The sequence below is a fragment of the Homo sapiens genome, chromosome 15, assembly GCF_000001405.40.
Source record: "Homo sapiens chromosome 15, GRCh38.p14 Primary Assembly".
In the NCBI taxonomy this organism is placed as follows: Eukaryota; Metazoa; Chordata; class Mammalia; order Primates; family Hominidae; genus Homo; species Homo sapiens.
This window is the reverse complement of record NC_000015.10, coordinates 39950484-39966118: the sequence shown is the minus strand read 5'-3', so window position 1 is coordinate 39966118 and position 15635 is coordinate 39950484. Positions and strand designations below refer to the sequence as shown.

General features: G+C 39.5%; 1 protein-coding gene, 1 non-coding gene and 1 pseudogene across 2 annotated transcripts in view, besides 1 other annotated feature; 1 reads left to right on the top strand and 2 right to left on the bottom strand.

The window, feature by feature from the left end:
• The window catches only part of EIF2AK4 (eukaryotic translation initiation factor 2 alpha kinase 4), a 101477-nt gene that overhangs the window by 69473 nt on the left and 16369 nt on the right, over positions 1-15635 (bottom strand). The window contains exons 5-8 of the mRNA NM_001013703.4: positions 12135-12215; positions 10351-10499; positions 4220-4335; positions 276-433 (exon numbers count right to left, since the gene is read on the bottom strand). Coding sequence (NP_001013725.2) covers positions 276-433; positions 4220-4335; positions 10351-10499; positions 12135-12215 — 504 coding nt within the window. The remainder of the gene's footprint in view (positions 1-275; positions 434-4219; positions 4336-10350; positions 10500-12134; positions 12216-15635) is intronic.
• Positions 6096-6597: an enhancer, noted in NCBI's record as "H3K4me1 hESC enhancer chr15:40251723-40252224 (GRCh37/hg19 assembly coordinates)". NCBI's record gives its function as "activates a minimal SCP1, AML or CMV promoter by ChIP-STARR-seq in naive H9 embryonic stem cells {active_cell/tissue: H9 hESC(naive)}" and the evidence as "EXISTENCE:reporter gene assay evidence [ECO:0000049][PMID:30033119]".
• Positions 14230-15293, top strand: H3P38 (H3 histone pseudogene 38; annotated as a pseudogene).
• On the bottom strand, positions 15311-15413 carry LOC124903607 (small nucleolar RNA U13). The gene has a single exon (XR_007064833.1). It is a non-coding gene; the product is annotated as a small nucleolar RNA U13 (small nucleolar RNA).

Sequence of the window (15635 nt, the reverse complement as noted above, 5' to 3'; positions counted from 1 at the left end):
TCCCAGTTGGAAAGATGACTGTTAATGCCATACTAAGGGCTAAGAAAGGAGGTTAAGAAGGCAGCTGGAAGTGCTTTGATCATGTTGTGAAAGTTCTGAAACCAGAGGCAAGGGGCAAAGAGGTACTGGTCCTTCACTGTCCTCCCTGGTCAAACAGTTCTCATACTGCTCTGGACCATCTCTGCAGGGCAAACAAATGCAGGGCTATTTTGTTCTGTCATCTCCTAAAGCCTGAGATTAGGCCTTTTGCTCAGTCAGCCACCTTGGATGCTTACCTGCTTTTTGCACTTATCAATCTTCTCTTTTTCTTGACTGGTAAGGAATGGACCCATTTTTTTCTGCCACTGAAGGACCCACTCATACAACAAGACAAAGCCACCAGTGGCTGTTTCCAAAGCATTGTAGACTAATTTTCCAAGTTGTTCATCACTGCCTGCACATTAAACAGAAAGTGTAATTAAATCCCACTGGTATGTTTTCTCTTGGGGGAAGGAAGGGAGGGGGTAATACACATTCTTTAGTTCAACAATGGATACCATGCGCTAACTATGGAAAATAGGACTTTATGTAATAATGTCCTTTTGTAAACAATTTTTGATATTTAGCAATATACCTGAGTCCTAAAATAATTTTTTATAAGGGGCAAGAATCTACAATGAGATCTTAGTATCAGGCAAATAAAGAGACCAATGTTTGGCCAGGCGTGGTGGCTCACGCCTGTAATCCCAGCATTTTGGAAGGCCAAGGCAGATGGATCACCTGAGGTCAGGAGTTCGAGACCAGCCTGGACAACATGGTGAAACCCCGTCGCTACTAAAAATACAAAAAAATTAGCCAGGTTTGGTGGCGGGCACTTGGAGTCTCAGCTACTTGGGAGGCTGAGGCAGGAGAATCGCTTGAACCTGGGAGGCGGAGGTTGCAGTGAGCCTACAACGCACCATTGCACTCCAGCCTGGGCGACAAGAGCAAGACTCTGTCTCAAAAAACAAAAGAGGCCAGTGTTTTATGCTACTAGCCATTATGCACAATGTTATTTTCATAACGAGTCTACCTTTGCTGACTGTGTCTACTGGTGTACACTCATACAGCTAAATACCAACTAAAATGACAGAAAGAATATGAAAATAGAGAACAAGCCATCGAGATCATTATAGATTAGTGTGCACAGTAAAACAGTAATTTGAAAATCTGAATACATCAATGACTTTCTAAGTGCAAAATTTGAATATGCTCAGTAAATACAAACTGGTCAATGCTTTGGAAGGAAAGAACAAGAGATGACAGTTTAGATTTGAAGCTAGAAAATGAGACACATTTATTTAGTGATAGTCATATGGTTCTCACTTACACAGGGAGAGCTAAATTTCTGTAACACCAAAAATTTTCTTATAAAAATCTCTATTTTCATTAAAACCATAATAGAAAATTCTAAAAAATTGGAAAAGGAGAAAAAAATCACCACTTGTTTTATTTTTCTTTTAGTTCCCTCTATTCTCCTTTACCCCATAATTTACCATATCATAGCATATATATAACACCTTGACACTATGACATTTTGGACCAGGTAATCTTTGTTGTAGGCAGCTGTTTTGTGCACTGTAGGATTTTAGCAGCAATCCTGGTATCTACCCACTAGATGCCAATAGCACCCCGACCCCAATGTTAGCCATCAAAAATGTGTGCAGACATCATCAAATGTCCTGCAGGCTACAAAATGGCCCCCAGCTGATAACCCCGATATATAGTAATCTGCCTTTTTCTCTTATATAAATAATAGTTTTCCATGATGCTATACTATCTTCATAATGAAAACAAATTTTTAAAGAGACATTGCTAATTATCTTTTCTATTTGAATAATCAAAGGTGAAGTAACCTGCATATACATGATAAAGATGTCTCAGCAAAAATACTTTGGAAAAATATGGCTGAACTAGCTCACTTTGACTTTTTATCTGACAAGCAGTTTTTATTTCATGGGAATGCTGATAATTTAGAGATTTTAATTAAAATGATCTGTTAGTCATAAATAACTCCTGACAGTCTTTGCCTAAGGGGAAAAAATCCTGCTGTTTAAAAATTTGTCAACCAAACGAAGCAACCTGAGAAATGTGGGATCTAAGCAGTCTACTAGAAACACATGGCATTAAATGTTTATGGGATGGAGTAAGACGTTATTTACATAAAGCCTAATTAAATTTGTGTGTTATGCAGTACAGTGTTTTGCAATATTTGTTTCCCTAATTGGGACTAGGCAGGCATTTCATAGTTGCTGGGGTTTAAAAAATTATAATTTTAGTATTGCCAGACTCTTCTTGTCAGTTTTTCATGATGGGAATAATAAAAGGGACAAAAGAATATACTGAGACGAGGCTAAGAGAAAATACATTATCAAAAGAACTCTAACTGAAACCCTATATGCCCACAATGATCATTTATGCAGACAGTCTCTATAGTGCTATAGTCATATCTATAAGTAAGTTCTCTCCTCTGTCTAGTTCTAACAACTTTAAAATGAAAAACAAATATTGTTTTTTATAAAAATACTTCATTGAAAATAAAAAAATTAGTAGTTAATCTTTTATAAAAACATTTCATAGACAATTAGGGCATATTTTAAAAAATCAGACCCACTGTGAGAAAACAAAATGAATAATTTACTTGGTAATTTTATTAAAAATTCTCCAACTGAAAATGTGCCTCCTAATAAGGGTATTAACTATGGTGAATCTGTCTAATGAGTACCAGTGAGAATAAGAGACTAAGTTAAGGTAATAAGAATTGAATTAATTTGCCTTCTTGATTTCCCCAGGTTATTAGAAGTAGTTTTATGTTGTCACTTCATGAATCTGAAATGTCTGAGTCAAGGACAGTCTCAGGTCTAAAGCCAACCACCACTACCAATGTCTTGAACCTGCCCAATGATTCCTTTGTCTAAATATGGCAGCTCTGTCTATGTGCAGGATCCTTTACTGTCCAGGCTGCTGTGTGTCTGCCAAGGTTAAGTATTTAGCTCATAGATTATTGAGAAGTTTGGTTTCTTCTCCCTCCACCTGCTGGCTGCTTCCTGGCAACTCTTTTGCTTATTTGTATCTCCTTAAAGAGGAAGGGGAAAAGATCCCAAAAGAAAGCAAACTCATTTCACATAATTTGGCTACCTGTTACTTCTGGCAAAAATATGCATGGGATTGAAAATGAAAGTTAATTGCCAAATTCACTATGTACAAATGGTTTCTATACCAATTACTGGTTTTATCTGTAAGGCTGGGTAAAGATGACATACATTTAGGGTAAAGGAAGAAATACCAAAAACTTGACTTTAGTATGAGCAATTCAAATTCTGATTTGCTGAACCAGCTTCACGCCAAACAGCCACGAGTAGACAAAACTTCTAAATAAGGCATATAGAAAATAAGGTGGTCTTCTTGGTCAGGTATAATATGTCAAGCAGGAAAATGCCAAATGGATGGATATCCACTTAAGAAAATGAGATCTGGTCAATAAAGACCACAGACATTACTGTAGTCCTAGCTATTCAGGAGGCTGAGGGGAGAATATTGAGTGAGCCCAGGAGTTTGAGGTTACAGTGAGCTATGATTGTGCCACTGTACCACTCCAGCCTAGTGATGGAGCAACACCCTGTCTCAACAACAAAAAAGATCATAGGCATTAGAATTCACTTTGTTACATACATTTGATCAGCATTAGCTGTATATGATGTAAAATTCTACTGACTGATAATATTTTAATCATTTTTTTGTTTCAATAAGCTTGGATAATTATAATGATGACAGATTTAAAATGATCGTTATGTTAATAATATTCCAAGAGCACAGGTTTTTAAATTTTATTTTATTTTATTGAGACAGGGTCTCATTCTGTCACTCACACTGGAGTGCAGTGGCATGATCACAGCTCACTGCAGCTTTGAACTCCTGGACTCAAGCAATCCTTCCACCTCGGCCCCCCAAAGTATTGGGATTATAGGCATAGCCACGGTGCCCAGACAAAAACACAGGTTTTTATTTCCATCTTACATTAGAGGAAACCTGAGTGATTTCTCATTCCAGTCATTAAGGATGGGAGCCAGAATGACTACCAGCTTGATGGTCTTCCTTGGACTGCACTGGTCTGAATGACACAGTGTCTAATCCATCCCATTCCTTTGTGATTAACTTTTGCCATTACAATAATATGAATAGATTTTGCTAGTTTACTCACCAATACATTTCCCTTTGTGCACCATGAGCTGATCAGGACTCCCCATATTGAAATACAGAATTTCACAAGAGCCAGGAGAATCTTCACTATTACATACAGAATACTGACGTTCTCGCCTTAAAAATAAATTTGAACAATACATTTGAACAATCATTTTTCATTTTTTTCTTTAAGATTAACATAGGAATGTTATAGATTAACATAGGCAAGAATGCCCCTCCATTTTCTCCCGTTTATTACTGTTTATTAGCCCACTCGCAGTCTAACATCTGTTTCTACTGGGAATTGAGTAGGCGGTGCTAATGGGAAAGCCATTCACTTCCCCCACTTCCCATTGTCATCTTCTCCACATGAAAACCACAAACCCCTAACTCGAGGTCTGTGCTGCCCAATGCTGTGGCTATTAAAATAAAACTGAAAATTCAGCTCATGTGCAGTAGCCACATTTAAGTACTCAATAGCCATACATGGCTAGTGGCTACTATATTGGACAGCACAGATACAGATCATTTCCATTATCATAAAAAGTTCTACTGGTCAGCAGTGATTTAGATCAATTCCACAGGTATCCCATATTGCTTCATTCCCACGCACATGCACATCTGGAGAAAGCTGCAAAACAGAGGGGGTTGGAGCTGCCACAAATTCCTGGTTTCCAACTGGGCCTCCAGCCATTGAGTGCACATTCCTTCTCTTGCTTGTCTTTGGTAGATATTCCCATCATTCCCTTCCATGACTTCTCCAAAACACTTAAAACCCAGCCTCTCCTCTCTTTCTTTTTTTCTACTTTTTTTCTGGTGGGAGCAAGAGCTAAGAAACTAGATCATAATGCAAAAACAATAAATTAGGGGAGAGGGTTGCAGGGAAGAGGCAAGGGAGAGAGCTCTTGATGGTCAGGATTGAACACTTATCAGAAACACTTCGATGACGTGCATGGACAGATCTCTAGAGAGATCACCCTCTCATTCTCAGCATGATTTTGACTTTTACTTTCACTGAGAACACGAGGCAAGAGGAATACAGTCCACAATTTCTATTGTTCCTCCTATAAAGTTACTTGGCATTGGCACTATTCTTTCTTTGTGGGTGACTTTGAGGAAGGATGGCTACCCCTGTCCTCAGTCCCATCCCCTACAAAGGTCTCCTCTGGGATCTTAGTCTATTAGTTAGTCCCTTTCTCCCAGATGTTCAGTCAGCCCCTCTCTCTGGGTTCCCTCCCACCAGCCTATAAATCTCTCTGATCCATACATTCCCCTCCCTCAACCCTGCACCACCCGCCCCATCCTGTTCCTCATAGTCACATTACTGCACTTCCTGTCTCCACTTCTGCACTATTTATCCCTCACACCATTGCAACGTCAATAAAACTGCCACTCCCTCCACTCGCTCTAAACCTGATTTTTCCCCTTGACTCTTTAATTTTGGTTAGGGGCATAGTCATCCATTCTGTCTCACAGGTGAGAAACCTGTGAGTCTCCTTGGGCTCCTACATCTGCATCTAATTGGTCTTCAAGTACCACCTTCTCCTCTCTATCTCCCCTGCCCTGTTTAGTTCATCTCCAACTTTCTCCTGGACATATGCAATACTCTGTTATTATCTGGTCTTTCTGCTTCCAATCCTACACATCCTCTCTTTCCTCAAACCCCTCCTACACTGGTGACAAGATTATGTATTATGATACTCATATCTTACACCACACATATGTCCACATATTCTTTTTTTTTTTTTTTTTTTTGAGATGGAGTCTCGCTCTGTCGCCCAGGCTGGAGTGCAGTGGCGCGATCTTGGCTCACTGCAAGCTCCGCCTCCCGGGTTCACACCATTCTCCTGCCTCAGCCTCCTGAGTAGCTGGGACTATAGGCCCCCGCCACCATGCCTAGCTAATTTTTTTGTATTTTTAGTAGAGACAGGGTTTCACCGTGTTAGCCAGGCTGGTCTCGATCTCCTGACCTCGTGATCTGCCCGCCTTGGCCTCCCAAAGTGCTGGGATTACAGGCATGAGCCACCACACCTGGCCCATGTCCACATATTCTAAACATCAGAAAACAGCAAATACATTGTAGTTCTGTTCAAATTTCTACTTCTAAAGTTATGTGTGCAACTAGGGACACACTGAGATTTATGGAGAAAAGGATAAAAGCAAAGATTTAAAATTACATGCTAGACTTAGTAACATAAACTATGCAGAAGCATCTCTACATCAGCTCTGGCCTCCTCAGCAGATGGTGCTAATGGTCATTTTAGTCTAGGCCATCTTTCTGTTCTTAAGTTTACAATGTGTAAATGCTTGGTTTTAAGGAGTTTTAGAATGTGAATCACCCTATTATGACTGATAAGTACAAACACAATGAGTGTTGATGGCTGTAAGATTAAGGAATAACTAGGATTGAAAGAAAAGTAGAGATAAAAGTGAAAGTAAGAAAACGACAAATGTGGTACATGCTGCATGGCACAGGTTGTAGCAGAAACAATTCTGAAGGATAAAAAGTAAATCACAGAGTTTGAAAAGAAGGAATAAAGAGACAAATGCAATGTCATCCATATCTATTGTTTTCGCCAAAAAGATTCATATATATTGGATGCTTATACTGTCTACCTGGGACCCATCAAGAACTGGGCTTGGAACAACCTTTTGGATTTGAATCCATTCATAAGTAAAACGACTTCTGTACTCCAGCAGAAACAGTGCAAACAAATGGTGTTCAGAAGCTATGACTCTGGTCTCATCATCATGATCTATTCTAGAGTATGGATGTTCATGAGGTTTGCAATATTATCATAATATTAAAAATATCACCCATGTTATCAGTTTTGCCAAGTATCTGTGGCAGTTCCCAACCTATATGAAGGGTGTTTCAAATAAAATTACCAAATAGTATTAATCTAGGTCTTTAAAAAGAACAGAGAAACATAATACAATTTTAGATGACTAAATTAGGCAGCTAGGAGCTTGATACCTGAAAAAAGAAAAAAGGATAATCTTTTTTTTTTTAAAAAGCCAAGTGGCAAGAAGAGAGATGACAATTTTTCAAGTGGGGACTAGAGAATTGGGCTACCATCCAAAAGATTGCTCTACCATTATGATCAATGTGTAGATGTTGGGGCAGGAGGGAGAAAGAGGATCTTATCTGAGACACAGGGGCAGGGATAGTCTCACCTTCCTGTCTAACTCACCAAGATGCCACAGAAAATGCTAGTTCTAGGTCCCTTAATTTGAAACACAGAGCCACTTTGTAGAGACAACATTAGTAAGAATTCCTGATATTGTTTAATTTGAGGTAAACCAGTCTATGCCTCCATGGAACCAACCACAGAAACTGAACAACAGAGGACCATGTCTGGAGAGACGTATCAAGGATCCTCTCTCCCCTACACCTTTATACTTTAATGGTTCCCCAAGTTTTTTGAGGAGAGCAGAGAGAATCCCATGTCTTATACCCTTAATGATCTCTTCTCTGTAAGGGTGAGGAGCCAGCAGTTACCATACCTGGCTTTAGAATAGGGAAAACAAACTAGATAACCTAATCTTGTTGATGGTAGATATAAATAGGTGATATATTCTAGATTCTGGGCTACACTACGGTAATCTGCAAAGACAGCAAGTCTGAATATGTGAAGGTAATTTTCTACCATGAGCTATTTTATAGAGGTTTTTTGGTTTTTTAGTTTTGCTTCTTCTACAAAATTCATATTGCCCACTTATGAGGAGCAACATCCCAGAAACAAGGCAGTGGGTTGGGGGGACTATGTCTGCACTTCACAAATACAGCCTCACGCTGAACTGTACACATTAAAATAGCTAATTTTATGTTTTTTGATTTTTACCTTAATATTCTAAAAAGTGAATCCTTCAAGGTGGGAAAAGAAGACTTGAAGCACAGAAAATAAAGTTCTTCAACAAAAGCCAAGACTCATCAGTGAAAAGCCTTTGAGTATCAGGCCTTTACGTTCTTTCCACTAGAATAGTGAGTGGTTCTCTTTTCTCTCTTTCTCTTCTTTTCAGCGTGAACATCTTTTGTTAAATAAAACCTCACTGGTTTTTTACATACCCCACAGATCAAGAGAAGCAAAACTGCCCTGGTTAAAGAGGCTGTAGACCCTACAAACACCAGAAACACAGTGTCCCACTTTCCCTGTGTCATCTTCCCTCCCTGGCTCCCTCCCTGCATCAGATGTTGACCAGGCACCTACCATGTGTCTTCCAGGCACGATTTCAGGCTTTGAGGAAAACACAGATGAGGGCTTTGCTCTCACAGACCTCACATTCCAAAGTAAACAAGTGAATAACAATTTCAGCTAGTGCTAAGTGTTATGTAAAAAATAAAGCAGAGAATTGGAGAGCAAGGGACAAAGCAGGGAAATAGGGTAGAGGGGGGCTCAGGAAGGCATCCCTGAGAAGGTTGCATTTGAGGGGAGAACTGAATGAGAAGGAGGGGCTCAGCAAGCAAAATGCCAGAGGTTGAGTAGTCCAGGCAGAGGGGTCGGCAGAGGCTCTGAGATGGGAAGGAGTTTGTTGCCCAGGCTGGTCTTGAACTCCTGGGCTCAAGTGATCCTTCAGCCTTGGCATCCCAAAGTGTTGGGGTCACACACATGAGCCACCGTGCCCAGCGTGCTATCTCTGATCTCAAAAACAAGCCTAACCTTGGATTCACTGTTTATAGTTAGCCACAAAAATAGAAATGTTTAAACTTAAAACAATCATCTTCCATATATCTGAAAAGACTTATTTATATCATTGATTTAATTCAAAGGTTCTAATACAACAAAAATTTGTTAGATATTTCCTAGTGAAATTCTCTGACAACTTCAAACTCTGTTGCTTATTAGAAGCCCAGATTCAAAAATAATTTAAATTGGGAAGGAGTTATAATCTTAAAAAGGAATGGTTACCAGAAACAGTATTTTTTTAAAAATTTAGTTAAACCTAATAGTAGGTAAACATTAGTGTCAAAATGATTTCTGAACTGTTTTTTTAGTAGTAGATAATTAGGGAAAGAACTAAAATGGCTCCTTCTAATAAACAAACTATACAGAAGTTTATATAAATCTTCAGTTTGGTGCCTAAAATGTTTCTTTTCATGGAAGCAAAGTGGTGGTTTTAAGTTGTGCTTAGAGTCTCACAAGAGATAATTTAAACATACAATGAAGGTTGAAGTCCCTACACTATTTAATAACCCACCCCACTCATAAATGGTTTCTTCACCAAAATTCCTTTCTGGTGTACAGGGGGCCACAGCAAATAGAGAGCAAAGTTGGAATTCTTCAGTGAAAAAGATATAGAAGAACAAGTAGTATCTTTTAAGTGACCAGTGGTGACAGGGAACAGCCCAGGAGCCCACCTCAGTATTAGGGAGGGGACCCCTGGCAGCCAACTGGGGTTCCTACTCTCATGTAACAGATGTCTCACCTGTGCTCATTTTCAGGCACTCCTTACAACTGTGGTGGGACCTAAGGCATTGTAGACTGAAACACTGGATGATGATGATTCAAATGGAAGAAAAATTTTAAAATCACTTACTGAATTTAAGTTTATAAATGTTAAATCGTACTAAGGCAAGTTTGTGATGTGTTATAGGCTGTTATAAAGGGGAATGAGGCTGGGTGTGGTGGCTCATGCCTGTAATCCCAGCATTTTGGGAGGCCGAGGCGGGTGGATCACGAGGTCAGGAGTTCGAGACCAGCCTGGCCAACACAGTGAAACCCCAACTCTACTAAACATACAAAAATTAGCCAGGTGTGGTGGCACATGCCTGTAGTCCCAGCTACTTGGGAGGCTGAGGCAGGAGAATCGCTTGAACCCAGAAGGCAGAGGTTGCAGTGAGCTGAGCCCGTGCCATTGCACTGCAGCCTGGGTGACAGAGCGAGACACCGTCTCAAAAAAAAAAAAAAAAAAAGGGAATGAGCAACAAAACTAGATTCATGATAGATACTTGGAAAGTGTTAAACGCAATTTAGTTTCATATTGCTAAAAATACACCTAATATATTGCTAATATATTAAGATATATAAGGTTTGAAAAAAGTTATTAAGACTATCGCCTGAAATTTCCATCAAATTTCACTACATCTTCAATGTAGTAAAATCCTTCTACATCTGTCATTCTCCCAGATCAGAAATCCCAGGGACTTACCTAGACCTTCCTGAGGAGTTTGCCCGATGTTTACCATTTCCTACAAAGTCAGGAGAGCCTCCATGTAGAATGGCAGCCGTTCTGTGTCCTCCTGGGTCCTTCTTAGAGGTATGATCTTGGTTTGACAAACTAGCAATTTCCAAACGTTCCTAGAACAAGAAAAGTAAAACTTACTTTAGATGTAAGTCATACATGGAAGAAAATCATGGTACATAATTATTAATTCAGTATAGAATGCAAATTTTAAGCTGAATGTTTACAAGTGAAATAAAATTGAACTTAACTTTTAATCGTTTAAAATAGCTAGAAGGAGGATATTGAATGTTTCCAACACAAAGAAATGCTAAATATTTGCAGTGACGGATGTGCTAATTACCCTGATCCGATCACTATACATTATATGTATCAAAACTTCACTATATACTCCATGAATATATACAACTATTATTGGTCAATTAAAAAATAAAATTAAAAAAATGTTAATGCCTAAATATGTACTGGCTCAAGAACTGAAGTCCAGGTTATGGTTTCAAGAAAATGTAAATTTTATAAATGAAAATGCTTAGAATCTTGCAATAGTGTAAAAAGTTAGGGAGAAGAGTAACAGGAGATGAACAGAAGAAGGGAGAATCAAAGAGAGGGCAGAGAGTGGCTGACAGGAAGGCAGGTCAGGAGCAAGACAGGAGCACTGGTGGAAACAGGGATCTCATCTTACATTTTTACGCAGGTTTAGTTTCACATAGGGCAGTACACTTATCTGTGGAGGTAATTATACAAGACAGAAAGAAAGGCATTATCAGTCCCATTTTAAGGGACAAGTAAAGAGAGTCACAGAGAATGTCACCTTGCCAAGGTCACAAAGTGAGGCAGCAGGAAAGCTGAAGCTTTAAACCAGGAGAAGCTTGCTTGTGCTTCAGTGCCTCTTCCTGCTACCACATCATGTCCCTTAAGTTTAATGCTCTAATTTATGTAAAAGAGAATGAGTAAAATTTTCTCTGAATTTCTCCAAACACGTCTGACTGGTTTTTTGCTTGAGCTAGACTCAGGAAAAATAAAGGAAAAAGCACTCTATCCTTTTTCACCACTGCCTTTTAAATCTGCTCTGTTGAATTACTCTTTTTCATCACTGGATGAAATTTCAGGCAGATCCATATGGTTTCTATTCCCTCTTCAGTATCAACAAATCATTTTATTTTCCAAGTATTAAGAATTCTAGGCCAGGTGCAGTGGCTCACGCCTGTAATCCCAACACTTTGGGAGGCCAAGGTGGGTGGATCACTTGAGGCCAGAAGTTGAGGACCAGCCTGGCCAACATGGCAAAACCCCATCTCTACTAAAAAATACAAAAATTAGCCAGGCGTAGTGGCATACGCCTGTAATCCCAGATACTCGGGAGGCTGAGGCATGAGAATTGCTTGAACCTGGGAGGTGGAGGTTACAGTGGGCTGAGATCATACCACTGCACTCCAGCCTGGGCGACAGAATGAGACTCTGTCTCAAAAAAAAGAACAATTTTAGTCCAGGTTAATTATTAAAGACGCAATCTCTTCCCTCCCTCATTTGATAAATTACAGTAATTATGTAAGTCTAAATCATCTACTGACAACATAAAACTCTAAATTTTGCCACCTATTTAGGGAGTCTGAAATACACAGTGAATATTTATTTATTTTTAGTGCTTTATTTTAAGCTGTATTACTGATAGTAACACAGATGTCATCAGTGGAAATAAAAACACTTTGTTTTGCAAAATGTAAATTATTATGGTGGAGTTGATAGGGTACCTGCTTAGCCATTTCTTTCCTTTTTTTCTCTTCTTTTATCTCTTCTTTCCTTCTCTGAATCTCATGCAGGATTTCACGTTGCTGAAATAAATCAAACCATCATCAAATGCCAATCTCTGAAACCCATACAACATATAAATTATGGAACTACAGAAAAATCTTTTAACTTTCAATAATTCAAACCCTCTCTTCCTAAGAGATCTGAAAACACAGCATCTTAGTACAAACTGCAGTTCTATCAGTTTTATCAGAGTTCTTACGCAATAGGCATTCCCATTTAAACAGGTTTGAGCGTGTGTGGGGAGGGGCATTTACTCCCCATTCTTCATGTTTCTATGTGCAGGAGATTTCCACTACAGCAACACTGTTGGCTTCTCACTTCTTCCGACACTTGTCTTAGCTCCTCCTGTTTGATATCTGCCTATCTGCAGAGAACAAGCACTTGTGCCTGCTCTCTGCCATGGGGGTCCCGGTCAGCTTGGTGAAGGTGGGCTGAGCAAGCCTCAGTGCCTGCACCTGAGGTAGCCATGGCCCAAGTACCATACCTACCTGCCATTCTTCAATCACCTGTATTTTCTAATCAGCTTTCTCAATGTTAAAAGTGGTATTTTGATCTCTATTTTGCATTATTCCTCTAAAATTCCAGATTATAATTATCAAAACTATTAAGAGATTCACCAAAAACCATAACAGCAATAATACAATGTGTAAAAACACACCCCAAACTTATAGGTAGCTATAGCAGTATGTCAAAACAAAATTGTTAGCTAAATAGTCACTATCTTCTAATAAAAATTAGCCTTCCTAACAACAAGGACAATAATAAACTACAGACTCCCGGCAGGGTGCGGTAGCTCATGCCTGTAATCCCAGCACTTTGGGAGGCCAAGGTGGATGGATCACAAGGTCAGGAGTTTGAGACCAGCCTGGCCAATGTGGCAAAAGCCCGTCTCTACTAAAAGTCCAAAAATTAGCCAGGCATGGTGGTGGGTGCCTGTAATCCCAGCTACTCGGGAGGCTGAGGCAGGAGAATTGCTTGAACCTGAGAAATGGAGGTTGTAGTAAGCCAGTATCATACCACTGTACTCCAGTCTGGGCAACAGAGCAAGACTCTGTCTCAAGAAATTAAAATAAAATAAAAATAATAAAAAAGAACTACAAACTCCCAACAATAACTAGGCTACACACTTAAATAGAAAATAAGTAACAAAATCAATGGCACCTACAAAAAGACAGTGTTAATGTAAGCACAGGATAAACAAAATGAAGCAGAAACAAAATAAAATGAAAAAAGAGACAAGCATAAGAACCTAAGAACAAAACACTAAAAGTAACTTTAAGAAATAGTAATATCTGTAGGAAGAAAATTAGAAAGCCTCAACAAAAAATAAAAATAGATATACAAATGGTGCTGGGCACGGTGGCTCATGCCTGTAATCCTAACACTTTGAGAGGTTGAGGCCAGAGGATTGGTTGAGCCCAGGAGTTGAAGACCAGCCTGGCAACATAGGGAGATCTTGTCTCTACAAAAAAATTTTAAAATTAGGCAGGTGCAGTGGTGTACGGCTATAGTCCCAGCTACTCAGGCAGCTTAGGCGGGAGGATCCCTTGAGCTGCGGTGAGCTAAGATTGCGCCACTGCACTCCAGCCTGGGCGACAGAGCACGATGCTGTCTCAAAAAAAAAAAAAAGAAAAAAAATCCAAAAAACAGAAAACAAAAACAAACAGCCCTGGATGGAAAAAGAAACAATCCTGAATGGGAAGTCTAAATACTGTGAAGATATCAATTCTTCCTAAATAAATATGTAAGATTTTTTAAAATCAATAAAAATCCCAGGATGTTTGTTTTGTTTTGACTATGGGAAAGTAATTCTGTACATCTTCTGTAAGAATAAATGGGTGAGAATGGCTGAGAAACAAAAACAATGGAAGATGAAGGGATGGGGAGGGGTAGGATTGACTTGTCAGATATTAAAGCATTATAAAGATACAATAATTCAAAGAGTGTGGTAGAGATTCAAGAAAAAACAGATGAGTTGAACAGATCATTGACAAATAGAACGTAGTATAGGTAAGCAGTTAAGATGCACTTGAGAATTGCGTTTGCAGCCGCCGCTGCACCACCTATAACTCCAGCAGAAGGAGAAGGGGGTAAGTAAGGAGGTCTCTATACCATGGCTTGTATAATACAAAGGAGACTGCCCACAAATCCACAGGTGGTAAAGCTCTTGGCTCACTGCAACCTCTGCCTCCTGGGTTGAAGCCACTGGCTACAGAAAGCCGCTTGCAAGACTGCACCTTCTACTGGAGGAGTGAAGAAACCGATCATTTCAGGCCTGGTACTGTGGCATTCTGTGAAATTAGACGTTACCACAAGTCCACTGAACTGATTTGCAAACTCCCCTCCAGCATCTGGTGAGAGAAATTGCTCAGGATTTTAAAACAGATCTGTGCTTCCAGAGTGCAGCTATTGGTGCTTTGCAGAAGGCAAGTGAGGCCTATCTGGTTGGCCTTTTTGAAAACACCAACCTGTATGCTATCTATCCATGCCAAACATGTAACAATTGTGCTGAAAGATATCCAGCTAGCATGACACATACATGGAGAGCGTGCTTAAGAATCCACTGTGGGTCGGGCGTGGTGGCTCAAGCCTGTAATCCCAGCTACTTGGGAGGCTGAGACAGGAGAATCAATTGAACCCGGGAGGCAGAGGTTGCAGTGAGCTGAGGTCACATCATTGCACTCCAGCCTGGGGCAACAACAGCGAAAGTCTGTCTCAAAAACAAACAAACAAACAAAGAAACAAAAAGAATCCACTATGATGGGAAATTTCACTCCCCCCGCAAAAAATTCTCTTATTATTCCTGATACTTCTGAATGTTAAATATTTTTTTCCTATGGGGTCAAAAGGTACCTACATATATGACTGTGAGTGGAAAAAGAGGGGACAGAAATCACGTATTGGCCGTTTTTCTATTTTCATTCATGTGTGAATTTTTAATATAAATGGGGGGGATGTAAAGCATTAATGCAAATCAAAATGTTTCAGTGAACAAGTTTCGGCAGTTTAACTTTCTAATAATTATAGATAAACCTGTTACATTTTTCTGGATAATGCCAGTATTTGGATTTTTTTAAAAACAAGTAAATTCTTCTCTTTCTTTCTTCTGCTTTCATGTCAGATGGGTAATGTGCTGATGTCCTAACAAGGTTCACAGGTGGCGTATCTCACATGTGTGTGAACACCGATCATCAAGCTTATGAACTATATAGAAGGATCAAAATAAGTACATTTTTTATTGATGGCAACTAAACGGTTTGTAGCATTCTTATCATACAGTAGATTACACCCATTCACTATATTTTTCTTTTCTTTTCTTTTTTTTTTTTTTTTTGAAGACAGAGTCTAGTTGTCGCCCAGGCTGGAGTGCAATGGCACGATCTTGGCTCACTGCAACCTCCTCCTCCCGGGTTCGAGCAATTCTCGTGCCTCAGACTCCT